The 16999-nt window shown below is 40.6% G+C and overlaps 1 pseudogene; it reads right to left on the reverse strand.

Moving 5' to 3' along the window:
• On the reverse strand, positions 14694 to 15511 carry RPS6P19 (ribosomal protein S6 pseudogene 19; annotated as a pseudogene).

The raw sequence follows: 16999 nt of genomic DNA on the forward strand, positions 1-16999 counted from the left end.
GAAATACCATCATAAAAGCCATCGGTTACAGCATCCACTGCATCTGAAGTTCTTCCATCTCTACCAAACTGTAGTGCTTTATTTGTAAGGATGACCCCTCCCAAGATTCACTGCACATTGCCAGTTTACTCTATCCTCATAAGCATCCAGCCAGAGGATTAAGATAACACATTCTCTGGAGGTGGAAGCCTCTGATTGTACAGAGAAAGATGCACTTTGGTAAAAATCACCCAACAACAGATGGCTGGCTGCCCAACTGATATGGTTGGGCTCTGTCCCCACCCAAATCTCATTTTGAATTGTAGCTCCCATAATTCCCACATGTTGTGGGAGGTACCTAGTGGGAGATAATTGAATCATTGAGGTGGTTTCCCCCATACCGTTCTCCTTCTGATTGTGAGGTCTCCCCAGCCGTGTGGAACTGTGAGTCCATTAAACCTCTTTTTCTTTATAAATTACCCAGTCTCGAGTTTGTCTTTATTAGCAGTGTGAAAATGGACTAATACAGTAAGTTTGTACTGGTACAGTGTAGTGCTGCTGTAAAAATACCTGAAAATGTGGAAGAGACTTTGGAACTTGGCAACAGACAGAGGTTGGAACAGTTTGGAGGACTCGGAAGACAGGAAAATGTGGGGAAATTTGGAACTTCCTAAAGACTTGTTGAACGGCTTTGACAAAAATGCTGATAATGATATGGACAATGAAATCCAGGCTGAGGTGGTCTCAGATGGAGATGAGAAACTTGTTGGGAACTGAAGTGAAGGTGACTCTTCCTATGTTTTAGCAAAGAGACTGATGGCATTTTGCCCCTGCCCTGGAGATTTGTGGAACTTTGAACTTGAGGAAGATGATCTAGGGTATCTGGTAGAAGAAATATCTAAGCAGCAAAGCATTCAAGAGGTGACTTGGGTGACGTTGAAAGCATTCAGTTTTAAAAAGGAAGCAGAGCATGAAAGTTTGGAAAATTTACAGCCTGATGATGCAATAGAAAGGAAAAACCCATTTTCTGGGGAGAAACTCAAGCCTGCTGCAGAAATTTGCATAAGTAATGAGGAACCAAATGTTAATCTCCAAGACAATGGGGAAAATGTCTCCAGGCCATGTCAGAGAACTTTGCAGCAGCCTTTCCCATCACAGGCCCAGAGGCCTAGGAGGAAAAATGGTTTGTGGGTCAGGCCCAGGACCCCCTGCTGTGTCTAGCCTAGGGACTTGGTGTCTTGTGTTCTAGCTGCTCCAGCCATGGCTAGAAGGGGCCAAGGTACAGCTTGGGCTATGGCTTCAGAGGGTGCAAGCCCCAAGCTTTGGCAGCTACCATGTGGTGTTGTGCCTGCTTGTGCACAGAAGTCAAGAATTGAGGTTTGGGAACCTCTGCCTAGATTTCAGAGATGCATGAAAACATCTGGATGTCCAGGCAGAAGTTTGCTGCAGGGGCAGGGCCCTCATGGAGAACACCTGCTAGGGCAGTGCAGAAGGGAAATGTGGGGTTGACGCCACCACACAGAGTCCCCACGGGGGCACTGCGCAGTGGAACTGTGAGAAAAGGGCCACCATCCTGCAGACCCCAGAATTGTAGATCCACCAACAACTTGTGCCATGTGCCTGAGAAAGCCACAGACAATGCCAGCCTGTGAAAGCAGCCAAGAGAGAGGCTGTACCCTGCAAAGCCACAGAGGTGGAGCTGCCTTAGACCATGGGAACCCACCTCTTGCACCAGTGTGACCTGCATGTGAAACATGGAGTCAAAAAAGATCATTTGGGAGTTTTAAGATTTGACAGCCCCACTGGATTTTGGACTTGCATGGGGCCTTTAGCTCCTTTATTTGGTCAATTTCTCCCATTTGGAATGGGTATATTTATCCAATGCCAGTACCCCCATTGTATCTAGGAAGTAACTGACTTGCTTCTTGATTTTACAGGCTCATAGGTGGAAGGGACTTGCCTTGTCTCAGATGACACTTTAGACAGTGGACTTTTGAGTTAATGCTGAAATAAGACTTTGAGGGACTGTCGGGAAGGCATGACTGGTTTTGAAATGTGAGGACATGAGATTTGGGAGGGGCCAGGAGTAGAATGATATGGTTTGGCTGTGTCCTCTCCCAAATCTCATTTTGAATTATAGCTCCCATAATTCCCATGTGTTATGGGAGGGACCCAGTAGGAGATAATTGAATCAAGGGGGTGGTTTCCCCCATACAGTTCTTGTGGTGGTGAAAAAGTCTCATGAGATCTGATGGTTTTATAAGGGGAAACCCCTTTCACTTGGCTCTCATTCTCTCTTGTCTGCCACCATGTAAGACATGCCTTTTACCTTCCACCATGATTGAGAGGCCTCCCTAGCCACATGGAACTGTGAGTCCATTAAACCTCTTTTTCTTTATAAATTACCCAGTCTCAAGTATGTCTTTATCAGCAGCATGAAAATGGACTAATACTCCATCTCTCTCATGAGAGTAGGTGTTATGATTCTGAACCCATTGTAGATTGTAATGGAGGGACAAGAGGTCTTCCCATCATTTCACAACATTTTCTTTTCAGAGTGGACACAAAGTATGATTTTTAATCAACTTATCTCCTGTCAATTTATCCTACACTGTCTGTCCCCTGACAAGCTCTGACATCTCTTCTTACCACTTCTTTTCATCCACTTACTCTTCTCTAAGCACATCGTCTTCCTTACCATTTCTGGAATCTGCCAAGCCTGTTTCTGTCTCAGGGCCTTTGCACGTGTTGTTCTCGCTGCTTTGAATGCTCTTCTTCCAGATATCACCAGAACTCCCACTGTCATTTCATTCAGGGATCTGCTCAGATGTCACCCTCCTCCAAGAGGCCCTCTCTGACCACTCAATTCACAATTTGTGTCTATCATTTTCTACTCCTTTCCTTTGCTTTGTTTTTCTTCATCTACATATACAAACTGACATTATATTTATTTTTTTTATCTTGATGGTGGTCTCTGTTCTCCCACTAGAATAGAAGGTCCATGAAGACAAGAACTTTATCTGTTTTGTTCACCACTATATTCCCTGGGCCTAGAACAGCCTAGCACATGAGGGGTACTTTTTAATAAACATGCTGAACAAATGAATAGACAAAAGAAGGAATTATTAGAAAATTCTCTCAACTAAGTTGCACTGGTCCTAATTTCTAATGTTGTAAATTTCCTCTTTTTCTGTGTCTTCATAGACATTTTGGAGGAAAAACAGAGAACCCATATGAGGAAGTACTTTTTATTTTAAAGCTTCATTAGACATAAAGCAGTTTTCTAATTTATCATTTTTTTTTACCAATTTTATCAAGTAGTATTGAGTTTGGCTGAGTGACAGAAACCAAAATAACAATAGCTTAAACAAGATGCAAATGTATTCTCTTTCAATTTAAAGTACAGAAATAGGTAGCCCAGGATTGGAGTAGGTCAGGGGATGAGGCCATAGAAAGTTGTTTGGGATTAAAACTCCTCTCTTAACAGTTCTGCTATCCTCACATTGGACTTCCACTGTAGTATGAAAAAGGAAAGGGCTGATGGGGCATAGCTATGCCCTTTAAGGACTTTTACCATCAATTTTACAAGGCAGTTCCACTTACATCCCATTGGACAAAACTTAGTCACATGACCACATGTAGTTGCAAGGGAGACTGGGAAATGTAGCCTTTGTACCAGAGGACCACATGCTGAACTAAAAACTGAAGGTCCTATTTCTAAAGAAGGAGAGAATGGAACCTAGGGGATAGTAGCAGTCTCTGCCGCATCCATCTCACCCACAACCTCCACCGAACAAATTTCTTTCTCAGAGACCAGTTTCCCAGATATTTTACTCTTTCCCCATCAATCATCCTTAGTTGGCAAAGTTAAAAGTTCTCAGATTTAAAAACACTATGACAATAACCAGTTCCTACTGTTACCTTCTCTACTTCAAGTTGATAGTCTCCAGTTTTTCCCTTGTTGTGGCAAACAGCTGTTCTCTTCTAGGGAGCTACTTAGAAGACCACTGGCACCAGGACCACTGAGGCAGAAGCACGGTGAAGTGGAAGGCAGAGGCAGACCCAGAATGGAGAGACACACAGTGCACCAGAACGGTATGGCATCTTGACACAGTGGACTGCCCCTTACTTGGCTGCTCAGATCCTTTGAAGAAAATATTTCTTGAGTATATTTTGAAATATGACTTACTTTCCCCCCCCTCTTTTTTTTGAGATGGAGTATCTCTCTGTCACCCAGGCTGGAGTGCAATGGTGCGATCCTGGGTCACTACAACCTTCCCCTCTCGGGTTCAAGCCATTCTCCTGCCTCAGGCTCCCAAATAGCTGGGACTACAGGTGCCTGCCACCATGCCTGGCTAATTTTCGTATTTTTAGTAGAGATGGGGTTTCACCATTTTGGCCAGGCTGGTCTCAAACTCCTGACCTCAGGTGATCCACACACCTCGGCCTCCCAAAGTGCTGGGATTATAGGCGTGAGCCACCGCACCTGGCCTTCCCAATATTTTTCATTGTGGTAAATACACATAAGATGAAATCTACTATCTTAACCATTTTAAAGTGTACAATTCAGTAGCATTAAACACATTCATAATGTCATGCAACCATCACCAACGTCCAACTCCATAACTCTTCATCTTGTAAAACTTAAATTCTATATCCATTAAACACTAACTCTCCATTGACCCATCCCCTAACCCCCTACAACCACCATTCTACTTTGTCTCTGTGGTTTTGAATACTCAAAATACCTCATATAAGTGTAATCATACAGCATTTGTCTTCTTGTGACTAGTTTATTTAACTTAGCATAATACTCTCAAGATTCATCCACATTGTAGCATAGGTCAGAATCTCCTTCCTTTTTAAGACTGAGTTATATTCCATTGTATGGATATACCACATTTTGCTTATCCATTCATCTGTCAGTGGACACTTCGGTTACTTCCATGTTTTTGCTATTGAGAATAATGCTGCTAGAACATGAATATACAAATGTTTCATAAATCCTTACTTTCTATTCTTTTGAGCATATACCTAAAAGTGGAATTGCTGGATCATACACTAATTCTATTTTTTTTTTCAAGAACTGCCATACTGTTTTCCACAGTGGCTGTAACATTTGACATTCCCACCAACAGTGCACAAGCATTCTAATTTCTCCACACCCTTGTCAGCACTTGTTATTTTCTTTTTAAAAAAAATAGTAGCCATCCTATGGGTGTGAGGTGGTATCTTGTAGTTTTGATTTGCATTTCACTAATAATTAGTGATGTTGGGCACCTTTTCATGTGCTTATTGCCATTTGCATATCTTCTTTGGAGAAGTGTTTATTAAGTATTTTGCCCATTTTAAATTGTTTTTTGTTGAATTGTAAGATTTCTCTACATATTCTGGATATTAATCGCTTATCAGGTATATGGTTGGTGAATATTTTCTCCCATTTTGTGGGTTATCATTTTCCTCTGTTGATAGTGTCTTTTGATGCACAAAATTTTTAAATCATTATGCAATCCAATTTATTGACTTTTGTGCCCTGTTCCTTTGGTGTCATATCCAAGAAATCATTGCCAACTCTAATATCTTCAAGACTTGACCTATGTTTTCTTCTAAGAATTGTATCATTTTAGGTCTTAAAAAGTCTTTGGTCCATTTTGAGTTAATTTTTGTATACTGTGTTAGGTAAGGGTCCAACTTGATTCTTCTGCATGTAGATATTCAGTTTTCCTAGTACTATTTGCTTAAAATACTACCCTTTTCCATTGAAAAGTCTTGTCACCCTTGTCAAGAATCATTTGAGTTGCCTTTGAATTTAAAATTTCATTGGCTTGTTGTCTAAAAGGATTATAGTATAAAAACAAGATCCTTCTCTAAATGAGGTAGATAATGTTAGCTATAAGGTAAAAATCCTCACTTTTTTGTTTCTCTCCAAAACTTTTCTACTGAGTTCAGTTTTATTCCTCTCGCTAATCAATGAACTTAAAAACATATAAAAATATCTAATATGCCTATTTTTATAATGCTTTATAACTGCATAGTTCTTTCAAGTTTTGGAAGATATTCACATTTAGTATTTTATGAAAAATGTTAGTTTAAACAATAGGGCAAGGCACCAGTAATCCCAGCATTTTGTGAGGCTGAGGCAGGAGGATCCCTTAAGGCCAAGAGTTCGAGGCTGCAGTGAACTATGATCAGACCACTGCACTCAATTGATATATATGCACTATTTTTCAGTCCCATATTTTGGTGTGTTTTCAAAGTTTGGCAAAATATCTTTTTTTCCCAGAAAAGTGGTTGCTGGCCCTTTGCTATATCTGAAGATTATAGGTAGATATTGAGAAGAGGGTCAAGAAAAGTAAGCAGGCTTCCCTAGGGCGAAAATAAGTTTGTATTTTCTGTTACTCATGTCACATTACTAGGCAATATTTACTTACCACTTATCCTGTAACAAGGAAACAAAGATGAAGTTTATATAAAAAATTACAGTATTGCATTATAAGTCATTTCACATCTTTTTGAGTAGATTTCTTTTATAGAACTATAGGAATAAATGAACTTTTCATTTTTTTTGAAGCAAAGTAGTTAGAGGGAAGCCAATGGAAATGGACTGATAATTGGCAGTAATTCTTTCCAAGTGGAGAAAGGACCTAGAATATGCTGACTTGCGTCATAGCTGATGCAAAGATAGAATCTACTCCAAGAGCTATTTAATTTTCATCATAAAACCTAACCACCCCCAGGCACCTTGGAACATACACACCTGGTTTCTCTCTCCCCCATATGGTTCTTTCACTAATTAATGCTCTCAACCTATCTCCTCCTGTTAGAATCTTACCCATCATTTAAGGTGAACTCAGTCGTAAAAATTTTTCATGTAATATTTCACTATTTCTAATCCCACCTGCTCCACAATAATATGTGCTTTCTCTCCCTCTTTGAGCCCCCTTAGCATATATTTCATAGTCTTCACAGTAGTATTGTATTACAGTTGTTTGAATCAAAACTTTTAATATGGGAGTATCTCATGGATCCCATGAGGCCAAAAGCAGGACTGGAAAGCCACTCTGCATGCCTCTTTCTCTCCAGATGTGTTTTCTCTGCATTGCCACTGGTGCCTGGTCAGAAATATCCAAGCCAGTGCTTCTACGCCCTTAAATCAGTGGACAGCAGAGACTGATTAGCACCTTTGAATTCTAATTTTAAATCTTTGGAGAGGAAATCCAATTGGTTTTCCTTAGGTCACGTATCTCTTGACCTCTAATTTAATCAGCTGCAGTTAGAAGGGCAGGGTTCCTGTTTGTGGCTTCCCAGATTCACCTTGTGGGTGGGAAAAGGGGACTGGGTCTCCATGTAGGCAGGTGGCTAGACATGTGTAGCTGGCTAGACATTCTGAAGCTCTCTCCTCTATTAATCACTTGTGTCATTTTATTATCTCCTGTGAGACACTGTAAGCTCCTTGGGAAAAGGGACTGTTGCTTGCTCATCTTTGTAAAGCCCCAGAGCCCTGTACTGTTTATTGCATAAAGAAAATGCTAAACCTGCAATTGTATTGATACTATTTCACAATGCCTTTTGGCATCAAGAATTTCCCCCAAAATTTCTAAAACTGTAATTTGAAAATCTGAGCATGATCTTATTGGGCCCTGAATCTAGGCTTACTCATACACTTTCTTATCAGGAAAAAAAAAAAAGCCTATTTTCTCTCTCTTTGAGAGGAAAAGTAAAGGAATATATACTCCTAACATAATTCCCTACTGTCTGTTTACTTCTTGCCTTGAAATCACAGTCACAGTTGCTAGAGGGCTCTGAGAATATCCTGTTGAAATGGAAAAGAAAGAGAAGACTATAAGAATTCCTCTACAGGGTACTTTCTTAATGTCCTTCCACCTAGAAACCCTGAATAAATTGGGAATATAGAGTGAGTAACAACAGATGGTGTCATCACAGTGCTTGAGTTGGGAAAGATGCCAATCAATCAAGACTTAGCATCCCTACCCCTCACATCTATCTTTATTTATTTATTTTTCTTATCTGGGTCTCACTCTAATCTCTTCAGTAGAATCAATTCCAAGTTGGAGCACCAAGAACTTTTATTCAGTTACAGAATCAACTCACTCAGTAAACTTAGCAGAAGTTTTATCTGATGCCCTGGAGTGCTTCCTGTTAGATAATGAGGGCTGAGAAATTCCTCCTGTTCCTCCTTTTAGCAGAACTGCCAAGGTGTTTAGTAAGGGCCAACCTTTGTACAGTCACGGCCTATATCCTTAGCCTAGATTTCCACCACAGGTGTTTCCTTTCTTTTACTACTTGATATTTTTTACTTTTCCCAAATTTCAACTTTTTTGCATATGTATATTTTATTGCAACAAGCTCAAATCCTCTTTTGGATATAGAAAGTATGAATGAAGAAAGAAAAATACCTAGGAAAATGTATGGATTGTATATACTCCACTAAAATGGCATTAAAGGAATAAAAAAGGTGTTTAGCTTATAGGGACAAAGAGAAGGAGACAAGGGGTGACTGCAGATAAATACAATTTATCGACTGTATTCAATACAATTTTGGAAGAATGAATGCAGACAAACAAGTGGAAATTAACTTCAATTTTAGCCTTCTTCATTTGTTAAATACCATAAAAGATGAAAGGCAACAAGAACAAAACAATCTGTGCTATAGTGCTCCCTGATATGGTTTGGCTGAGTCCCCACCCAAATCTCATCTTGAATTGTAGCTCTGATAATTCCCACATGTTGTGGGAGGGACCTGGTGAGAGATAATTGAATCATAGGGACAGTTCCCCCATACTGTTCTCATGTTAGTGAATAAGTCTCAAGAAATCTGATGGTTTTATAAGGGGAAACCCCTTTTGCTTGATTCTCTCTCTCTCTTTCTCTCTCTCTCTCTTTCTCTCTCATTCTCCCTGGGGCCATGTAAGACCTGCCTTTCACCTTCCACCATGATTGTGAGGCCTCCCCAGCCACGTGGAACTGTGAGCCCATTAAGTCTCTTTTTCTGTATGAATTACCCAGTCTAGGGTATGTCTTTATCAGCAGCGTGAAAACGGACTAATACATCCCCTAAGAAATATCCAAAATCAGATATGCTGTATACCTCTAAAGGCAGAGATATGAGGTAGAATGAAAAACCCAAGGACTCATATACGGAGTTCTTAGAGACCACATCCTTTCCCCTCTCCTAGACTGGGCAGCCAGGTAACTGCTCCTCCCTTCTTCTTGACAGAAAACTAAAGATACCCTTTCTGGAGAGGTTAAACTAAACAAAAACCAAAAAACTCTGGCTTAAGGGCACTAGTCACAGCTAAGGGCTAGAGCAAGGCATTTTACTGGAAAATAAAAATCAGAGAAGTTCGCCTAATGAAGAGTGAGACAACACTCCACCATCCCTGACCCATCCACCCTTTCCCCTACCAGGCTCCCAGAATGCTAAATACCAGACTTACACTATTTTAGGCAGGATTGGAGAGAATTCCTTTCTAGAAAAACCAAGCAGCCCAAAAGAATAGACAAAAAACAAAACAAAACAAAAACTGGCATTTAGAGGCTATAAAAAGACAGGGCTCCCACCTGGTTATCCTAAAGTGAGACCCTCTAATCTGTATGTCCCCCCTCCGCATAAGTTTCTGATTAGCTCATGGTGCCTCTCCCCTTCACATGAACTGGTCAGTTAGGGATCACTAGCCACTTGGAAAAAACCTTTCACATAGGAGACAGAGTCCAAAATAAACTGTAAAAGAAACATTGAGAAAACAGTAAATGCAGAGGCAAAAGAAAACATTTTAAAACTAGTTACCATTTTCTAAAAAAGGAGGACAATTTTGCTTTCATTAAATGTGAAGAGTTTCCTATTAAAATGTCACATATAAAGAATAAGAAGGAGCTCTTGGAAACTAAAAAATATAGGAGCAGAATTAGTGGAAGGGTTAGGAGATAAAATTAAGGAAAGCTTCTATAAAGTGGAACAAAAATACCCAGAGATGAAAAATAAAAGTGGAAAGAAAAGAAAATTAGAGGTTTAATGCTGGAGGTTGAAAACATGACTCTAGGAATTCTAGAGAAAGAGTGGAGGGAAGGCAATTATCAAAGGAAAATTCAGGAAAATTTCCAAAAATCTTAAGAACATATTCTTCATACTGAAATTGCTCACCAAGTGTGTAGTGAATTTAACAATTCACTTCTGTTGTGAAATGTCAGAAACACAGAGACAATCCTAAAAGCTTCCATAGAGAGGGAAAAAAAAATAGGTCATATACAAAGATCAGAAATCAGAATGGCATCAGACTTCTCAACAGCAACATCGAAAGCTAGAGGAAAATAAAAATGCCTTCAAAGTTTTTTATGAAAAATTATTTCCAACCTAAAATTCTCTACCCAAACTATTTACTATGAGTGGAGAATAAAGATATTTTCAAATATGCAAGGTCTCAAAAATAGTATTTCCTTACACATCATTTCTCATGAAGCTTCTGGAAGATGTGCTCTATGAAAACGGGAAAAATGCAGAAAAAAAAAAGACATGAGATTCAGGAAACGGATGATTGAGGCAGAATTAGTGAGCAGCTAGTCCCAATTGGAGCAGGTTGTCAGAAGCTCTACCTGAAATCTTCTCTAAGAAAAAGCAATGGAACATGTAGGTTGCCTTATGGGTCTGCCCTCTATAAGAAAGGAGTTTTAGAAGCTCTTTCCAAAAGTGCAGTGATGAAGCGATAGAAGGTACATGGAAAACTTAACAAGGTATTTCCAGCTGAACACGTTAGGTTGTACAGCCACCACTGAAGTCAGACAATACCAATGTTGGCACAAACGTGGAGCACTGGGAACTTGCATAGACTGCTGGTACAAGCACTGTGGAAAACAACGGATAATATCTAGAAGGATGAAGATGTTTATGCACTGTGCCACAGAATTTCCACTTCTTGTGGCATACCAAATGAAACGTGTGTATATGTGCACAAATAGTGTGTACAAGAATATTCATAGCATTAAGATTTACTCCAAACTAGAAACAACTCAGAAGTACATCCACAGTAACATGGATAGACTGTGGTATCCGTGTATAACCAAAGTGGATATATGTAATGATGATGTGGTTGAATTTTACAGAGCTGAGTAAAAGAAACCAAACACAAAAGAATATGCACCATATGTCTCTATTTACATAAAATTCAAAAGCAGGCAAAGCTAAACTCAGTTGTTTCACAATGGATACATAGGTGGTAAAACTGTAAAGGAAAAGAAGGAAGCAGTAATCATAAAAGGTAGGATGGTGTCACATCTAAAGGGAGAGAACTAGTTGTAATCAGGTGGGGACATATGGGGGGCTTTAGGGAAGCTAGCAATGTTTATTTCTTGATTTGAGTGTTGGTTAATGATCATTCACTTTATAATATATATTAAACTGTATGCATATATTTGGTAATTTAAAAAGAAAACCACTTTTTAAACAGTGTGGCAGATTGAGCACATATTTTACCTTTTGTTCCCTTCCAAACTTCACAAAAATGACTCTAGTCATAAGGATAAAGAGAGTAAGAGACAAAAAACAAAACACTCATATAATTCTGGGATCCAAAAAGCAGGTGAATAAGAAGAGACTCACTTAGAAAAGCAGAGAAAGCTGAAATTCAAGACAGCAGCATGAGAAGGTCTTAGAAGCAGGCTTATTTGTATCTCAGAAGCCCCAAAAGGAGCAGGAATTGGATGTTGTGATAGCTCTTGAAGCAGGGCCTATGTTGGGATAGAGACTTAAAAAACAGAGTTGGTTGCAAATCTGTATGAAGGGACATTTCACCTATCCCCTTGCCTACCCTGTGCAGCTGGGCAACTGTCCCTCCCCTAGCCTAGCAGAAGACTGAAGTCTTACTCACAGAACTTAACAGGAGACTCCGGACAGGGAACACTGATGTAACTGTGAGGCGGCCTCTGTATTGAACACTGGGGAACTAAGGGAATGTCTACATACTCAGAAACAAAATCAAAAATGAAACACCCCCTGCAACCTTCCCCCATAATCTCCTTCCCAAACTCTTCCCCAAGAGCGTAAACCTCCACTTAATATGTTTTGAAAATCAGGCAATCAATGTGGACTGATTGTTATCTAGACCTGGTGCACAGTGGTTGTCTTGGGATCTCAGTTTAAAATATGGTGGGAATTATTCTGGCCTGTATCCTACTGATTCTTTATTGCCTGAATCTCATGTTTCTTCTTTGGATACTCCCTTGTCTTGGCCGTGCATATCATCCAGTAGCGTCCTGAGAAAGCATGCACAGGAGATCATTATTTTGAGAATGAGCATATGTGAAAAAACCTTTATTCTCCCCCTAGTACTTTATGGCCTGTTAAGCGGAGGTGTGTCAACCATTGGGCTTTTCTATGGGGTGTTCTGGCTGAGTTCATTAGGCAACCTCCAAATGTTAATATTAATATTATCATGGTATTCTTCTTTCTCCACTTCTTCCTCCTCCCTTCTCCCTTTCCTTTCCTTCTCCCTCTCCTCTCCTTTCCCCTCCTCCCCAGCACCCCTCCTCATCATTCTCCTCCTCCTATTTTCCCTCCCCTCCTCCTTCTCATTGCTTAGTCCATTGTCTAGAGCAAGAACCCTCCCAGCATAGTGACTCATGCCTATAATCCCAGCACATTGGGAGGCCAAGGTGGGAAAATCACTTGAGGCCAGGAGTTAGAGACCAGCCTGGGCCACATGGCAAGACCCCATCTCTACAAAAAATAAAATAAATACCCATGTGGTGGCATGTACCTATAATCCCAGCTACTTGGGAGGCTTAGGTGGGAAGATTGCTTGAGCCCCAGGAGATAGAAGTTGCCGTGAACCGTGATTGCCACTGTATTCCAGCCTGGGTGACAGAGCGAGACCTTGTCTAAAAAAAAAAAAAAAAAAAAAAGCAAGAACTCTGTGATTCACTTACCCCTGAATCTCTGTGGCCTAGTACCATACCTGACACCCAATAAATATTTAAACTGAATTCAAATTAACAACTTCACGTTGAAGTTAGATGAGCTCTCTTCCTCTACTTTGTGAGCTATATGTGAAGGGGTTGAAAATGCAAGAGTAGATAAAAAGAGAAATCTTCCACTTGAAGAAGTTGTATGCAACAATTAAACTGAGCATCATGACATCTGGCAGCATCCTCCCTTTGCTGGACTTCTCAGCAGCATTTCACAGAGTGGATCATTCCCTCCTAGAAATTTTTTACCTTCCAGCACACTCTCCTGGTTTCCTCCAGCCTTACAGGTCACTCCTTCCCAATCTCTTTTGCTGGAGCTCCTCCTATTTCTGGACTGTGAATGCTGGAGTGACCAGGACTTAGTCTTCCTCAGTACTTTCATCCTGTCCCGCAGCTTTAACTTCTGTTTATGAGCTGAACATTCCATATAGCTCAGCTATCTCCAGTTCTGGCTCCTTTCCTAAACTCCAGATTCTTCACACCCTATGGCCACACAACATTTCCACTTAGAGGTCTAACAGGCATCCCAAACTTAGCATGGCCAAAAACCCAGGCCTTCGCTATCCACTCCCCCAAACCTGCTCTGCCTCAGGTATTCCTGTCTTGGTCGATAGCAACATCACCCACTCAACTGCTCGGACCAAAACCTTGTGACCATGGAATGCAGTGTTTGCAGTGATTGTGAATCTCAACTCTGCAGCCAGAACGTCTGGGGTCTAAAATCAGCTCCAGCATTTCCCGTGTGCATTGCCCTTCCTGTCTGTGCCTCAGTTTCTCATCAGAAAATGGAAATGATAATAGTGCCTACCCTATGGGATTGCTGTAAGGGTGATGTGGGTGAAAGTAGATTAAAGCATATAGAATCTGGCATAGGGAAGGTATTAGAAAGGCATTTGATATTATTTTTATTGTTATGAATATATGTAAAACATAGGAACAAGGCCTGACATAGAGTATGCACTAAGATTGATTCCTCTTTTTCCCTGATGTATCATATTCAATTCAAAGGGAATCCGGTTGGTTTTATATTCAAACTACAGATAAACTATAACTATTTCTCTCTGTCTGCACCATTGTAACCCTGACCCATGCTTTTACCTCCTCTTTCAGTTGAACCCCACAATAGTCACCTAACTTATCTCCCTCACCCACAGTCTCCTTCTCACATGTGAGTCTGATTGTGTCACTCCTTGCTCAGAAGTTTCCACTGGCTTCCAAAGTACTCAGGTCTTCAGTGTGGCTAGCAAGGTGCTCTCTAATCTAGCACCTAGCTACCTGGCCAGCATTAGCTTCTACCACCTAGCCCTCCCTCAGTGGGCTCCCTCACACCAGACTCCTTGTCATTCCCCCATCTCCACCTAACATCATTCCCTGTCCTCCCCATCCTATCTGTCCTACCACATATCACACCCTGCTATTACGCTAGTCAATGCTGCCCTGGATAGAACTGTGATAGGGGGTGGGAGGTGTCATAAGACAGAGACTTAATCAGTTTATTTAGTTCCTCAACTTTAGCTTATGAGGCATTCTTCACATTGAAGGAATGTGATTCAGATTTGGGGGCTGTGGGAAGCTACTGAGCAGATTCAGCATAAGTTACCACATGTCAGCTCTGCAGTCTTAAAAATTATACAAGTTGCTTTAAGTTTCTCCTTTAAAGTACTCATGGAAGTCATCATCTTCTCCATCATTTTCATCAATGTCCTTAGTCTTTATTGATTATTTTGCTGGGGGTGGTATGATCTTACTCATTTGTTAAGTAAGTCAAAAAATCTTATTTTTGACTAGACTCAGAAGTAGAAGCTTACAGAGGGGACAACCTGTGTCTCTGGTAATCTGCTCCTGGAGTTTTTCTTTAGTCTCCTTCATTCTCTTGGCCAAAAGTTTAACATATTTTGTGGCTCTTTCTTATTTTTCTTAGTATGCTGTTTCTTCTGAGCAATACCAGTGTTTGTATTGCAGGACATGTAGAGTAACAAGATGCTGAATCTTGGGTGCTTTGGTCCTCAGTATCTTACTCTCTTTGTTTAAGGGCTTTCTGGCAACATATGGGTGGGGGGCATTGTCTTCTTTAGAGAGACTGAAAAGTTTGCATTTCTGTTAGCTCTTTTGGGCCCCCAGCAACATGACACCATAGTATCAGTCAGTCCAGGAGTATCCTTCCCTCCTTTTTTTTTTTTTTTTTAAGATAACCAACTGGAGAATGCTCAGATTGGCATGCACAATGAAACCCCAAACAGATTCGCACTTTCTTTCTCCAGTTCTCCTTGGTCTATAACAGGAATGCCCCTACTCAGTAGCAGTAGGCAGACCCAGCCATGGGTCAGGACACACTGCTTCATGAGGAAACCTTGTTCGTTGGTCCCACCACTGACTCGGACCACATAACTCTTCCAGAGCGTCGGCAGCAACCTCTGTGCCATATGCTTCTCATAAGTACAAAATTGCCATTCGTTGTCCAATCCAATGAGTGTCTGTCAGCCAGTGGCTGGGGAGGAGATATTTAGCTTCATCCTGAAGCAGCTAATTGCCTCCAAGGTGCCACAAAAAAGAGCTCATGTTTTTGTTTTTGTTTTTTCATTAAACATTTAATTACATAAACGCAGAGAATCATATGGTTGCTTTGATGCTTTATGAGCACAGACATCAGTCCTATGATAACCATTTACCTTTGAGATAATTGTACCTGTTTTAATGGGATTGATGTTATTTTAACATAAATAGGTGTTAATTTGGGGGCTTAAGAGAAAAGAGTGTCTTTTCTGTCAAAATGAATGTTAGGTACATTTTCAGCCTATGAGAATTCACCCACGAGGACCTTTATTTAGGAACAAATTATCTTCATCATGGTGGAATGTTGTACATTACTTGGTTATGTACGTATTCTATGTTGACCCCTCCAGAATCTTCATTATGTGAGGACAGCAACATTGTTTTATTTAGAATAGTGCCTGGTGAATGTAAACATTTAATAAATAAATTATAAATAAACATTAAACATTTACTTAAATTGTAGGTTAAAAAAACACTTCGTTTTGGTCAGGAGTTTGAGACCGGTCTGAGCAATATGGTGAAATCTCGTCTCTGCTAAAAATACAAAAATTAGCCAGGCATGGTGGTAGGCACCTGTAGTCCCGACTACTCGGGAGGCTGAGACAGGAGAATTGCTTGAACCCGTTGAACCTGAGAGTCCGAGGTTGCAGTAAGCCAAAATCACGCCACCGCACTCCAGCCTGGGCAACAGAGCGAGACTCTGTCTCAAAAACAAACAAACAAACAAACAAAAAAAACAGAAACACATATGGTTAATGGCTATGATTATGTTAAATGTATGAAAATAATGTTGGAAGGAAACATACAAGAATGATAATAGTTATCAGAAGGTTATGATTATAGGTGATTTTTAACCAAAATTTTAAATTTTATTGAAACATTACATTGTTCTTTTTTTTTAAAAAAAAAAAAAGTAATGTCACAAATGAAAGCACATGGAATTGGCAGTCCAAGTCCCGGATTCCAGTACTTACTGTGTGGAGTGGCATTAGGTAAGTCTCTTGAGCACTCTTGCTGTGCTTCTGTTTCCTCTTCAGTAAATGGAAGGTCATAGGACTTTGCAGTTCCATAATTCTGATTCTCACTTCTGCCAACATTAGCCACTCCAAATCCTTCCCTCTGTAGTTTCTATTCTTCACTCAAGGCCAGAGGAATGAAATGTTCTAAAATATTAAGAGGCCAATTTAGAAAGGCGGAACTGGGTCGGGCACGGTGGCTCACGCTGGTAATCCCAGCACTTTGAAAGGCTGAAGTGGGCTGATCCCTTGAGATCAGCAGTTCGAGACCACCCTGACCAACATGGTTGAAACCCCGTCTCTACCAAAAAATACAAAAATTAGCCAGATGTGGTGATGCATACCTGTAGTCCCAACTACTCGGGAGGTTGAGACACGAAAATTGCTTGAATGGGGAGGCGGAGGTTGCAGTGAGCAGAGATTGTGCCACTGTACTCCAGCCTGGGTGACAGAGTGAGACCCTGTCTCAAAAA

This window comes from Homo sapiens, chromosome 12 (assembly GCF_000001405.40).
Source record: "Homo sapiens chromosome 12, GRCh38.p14 Primary Assembly".
NCBI lineage: Eukaryota > Metazoa > Chordata > Mammalia > Primates > Hominidae > Homo > Homo sapiens.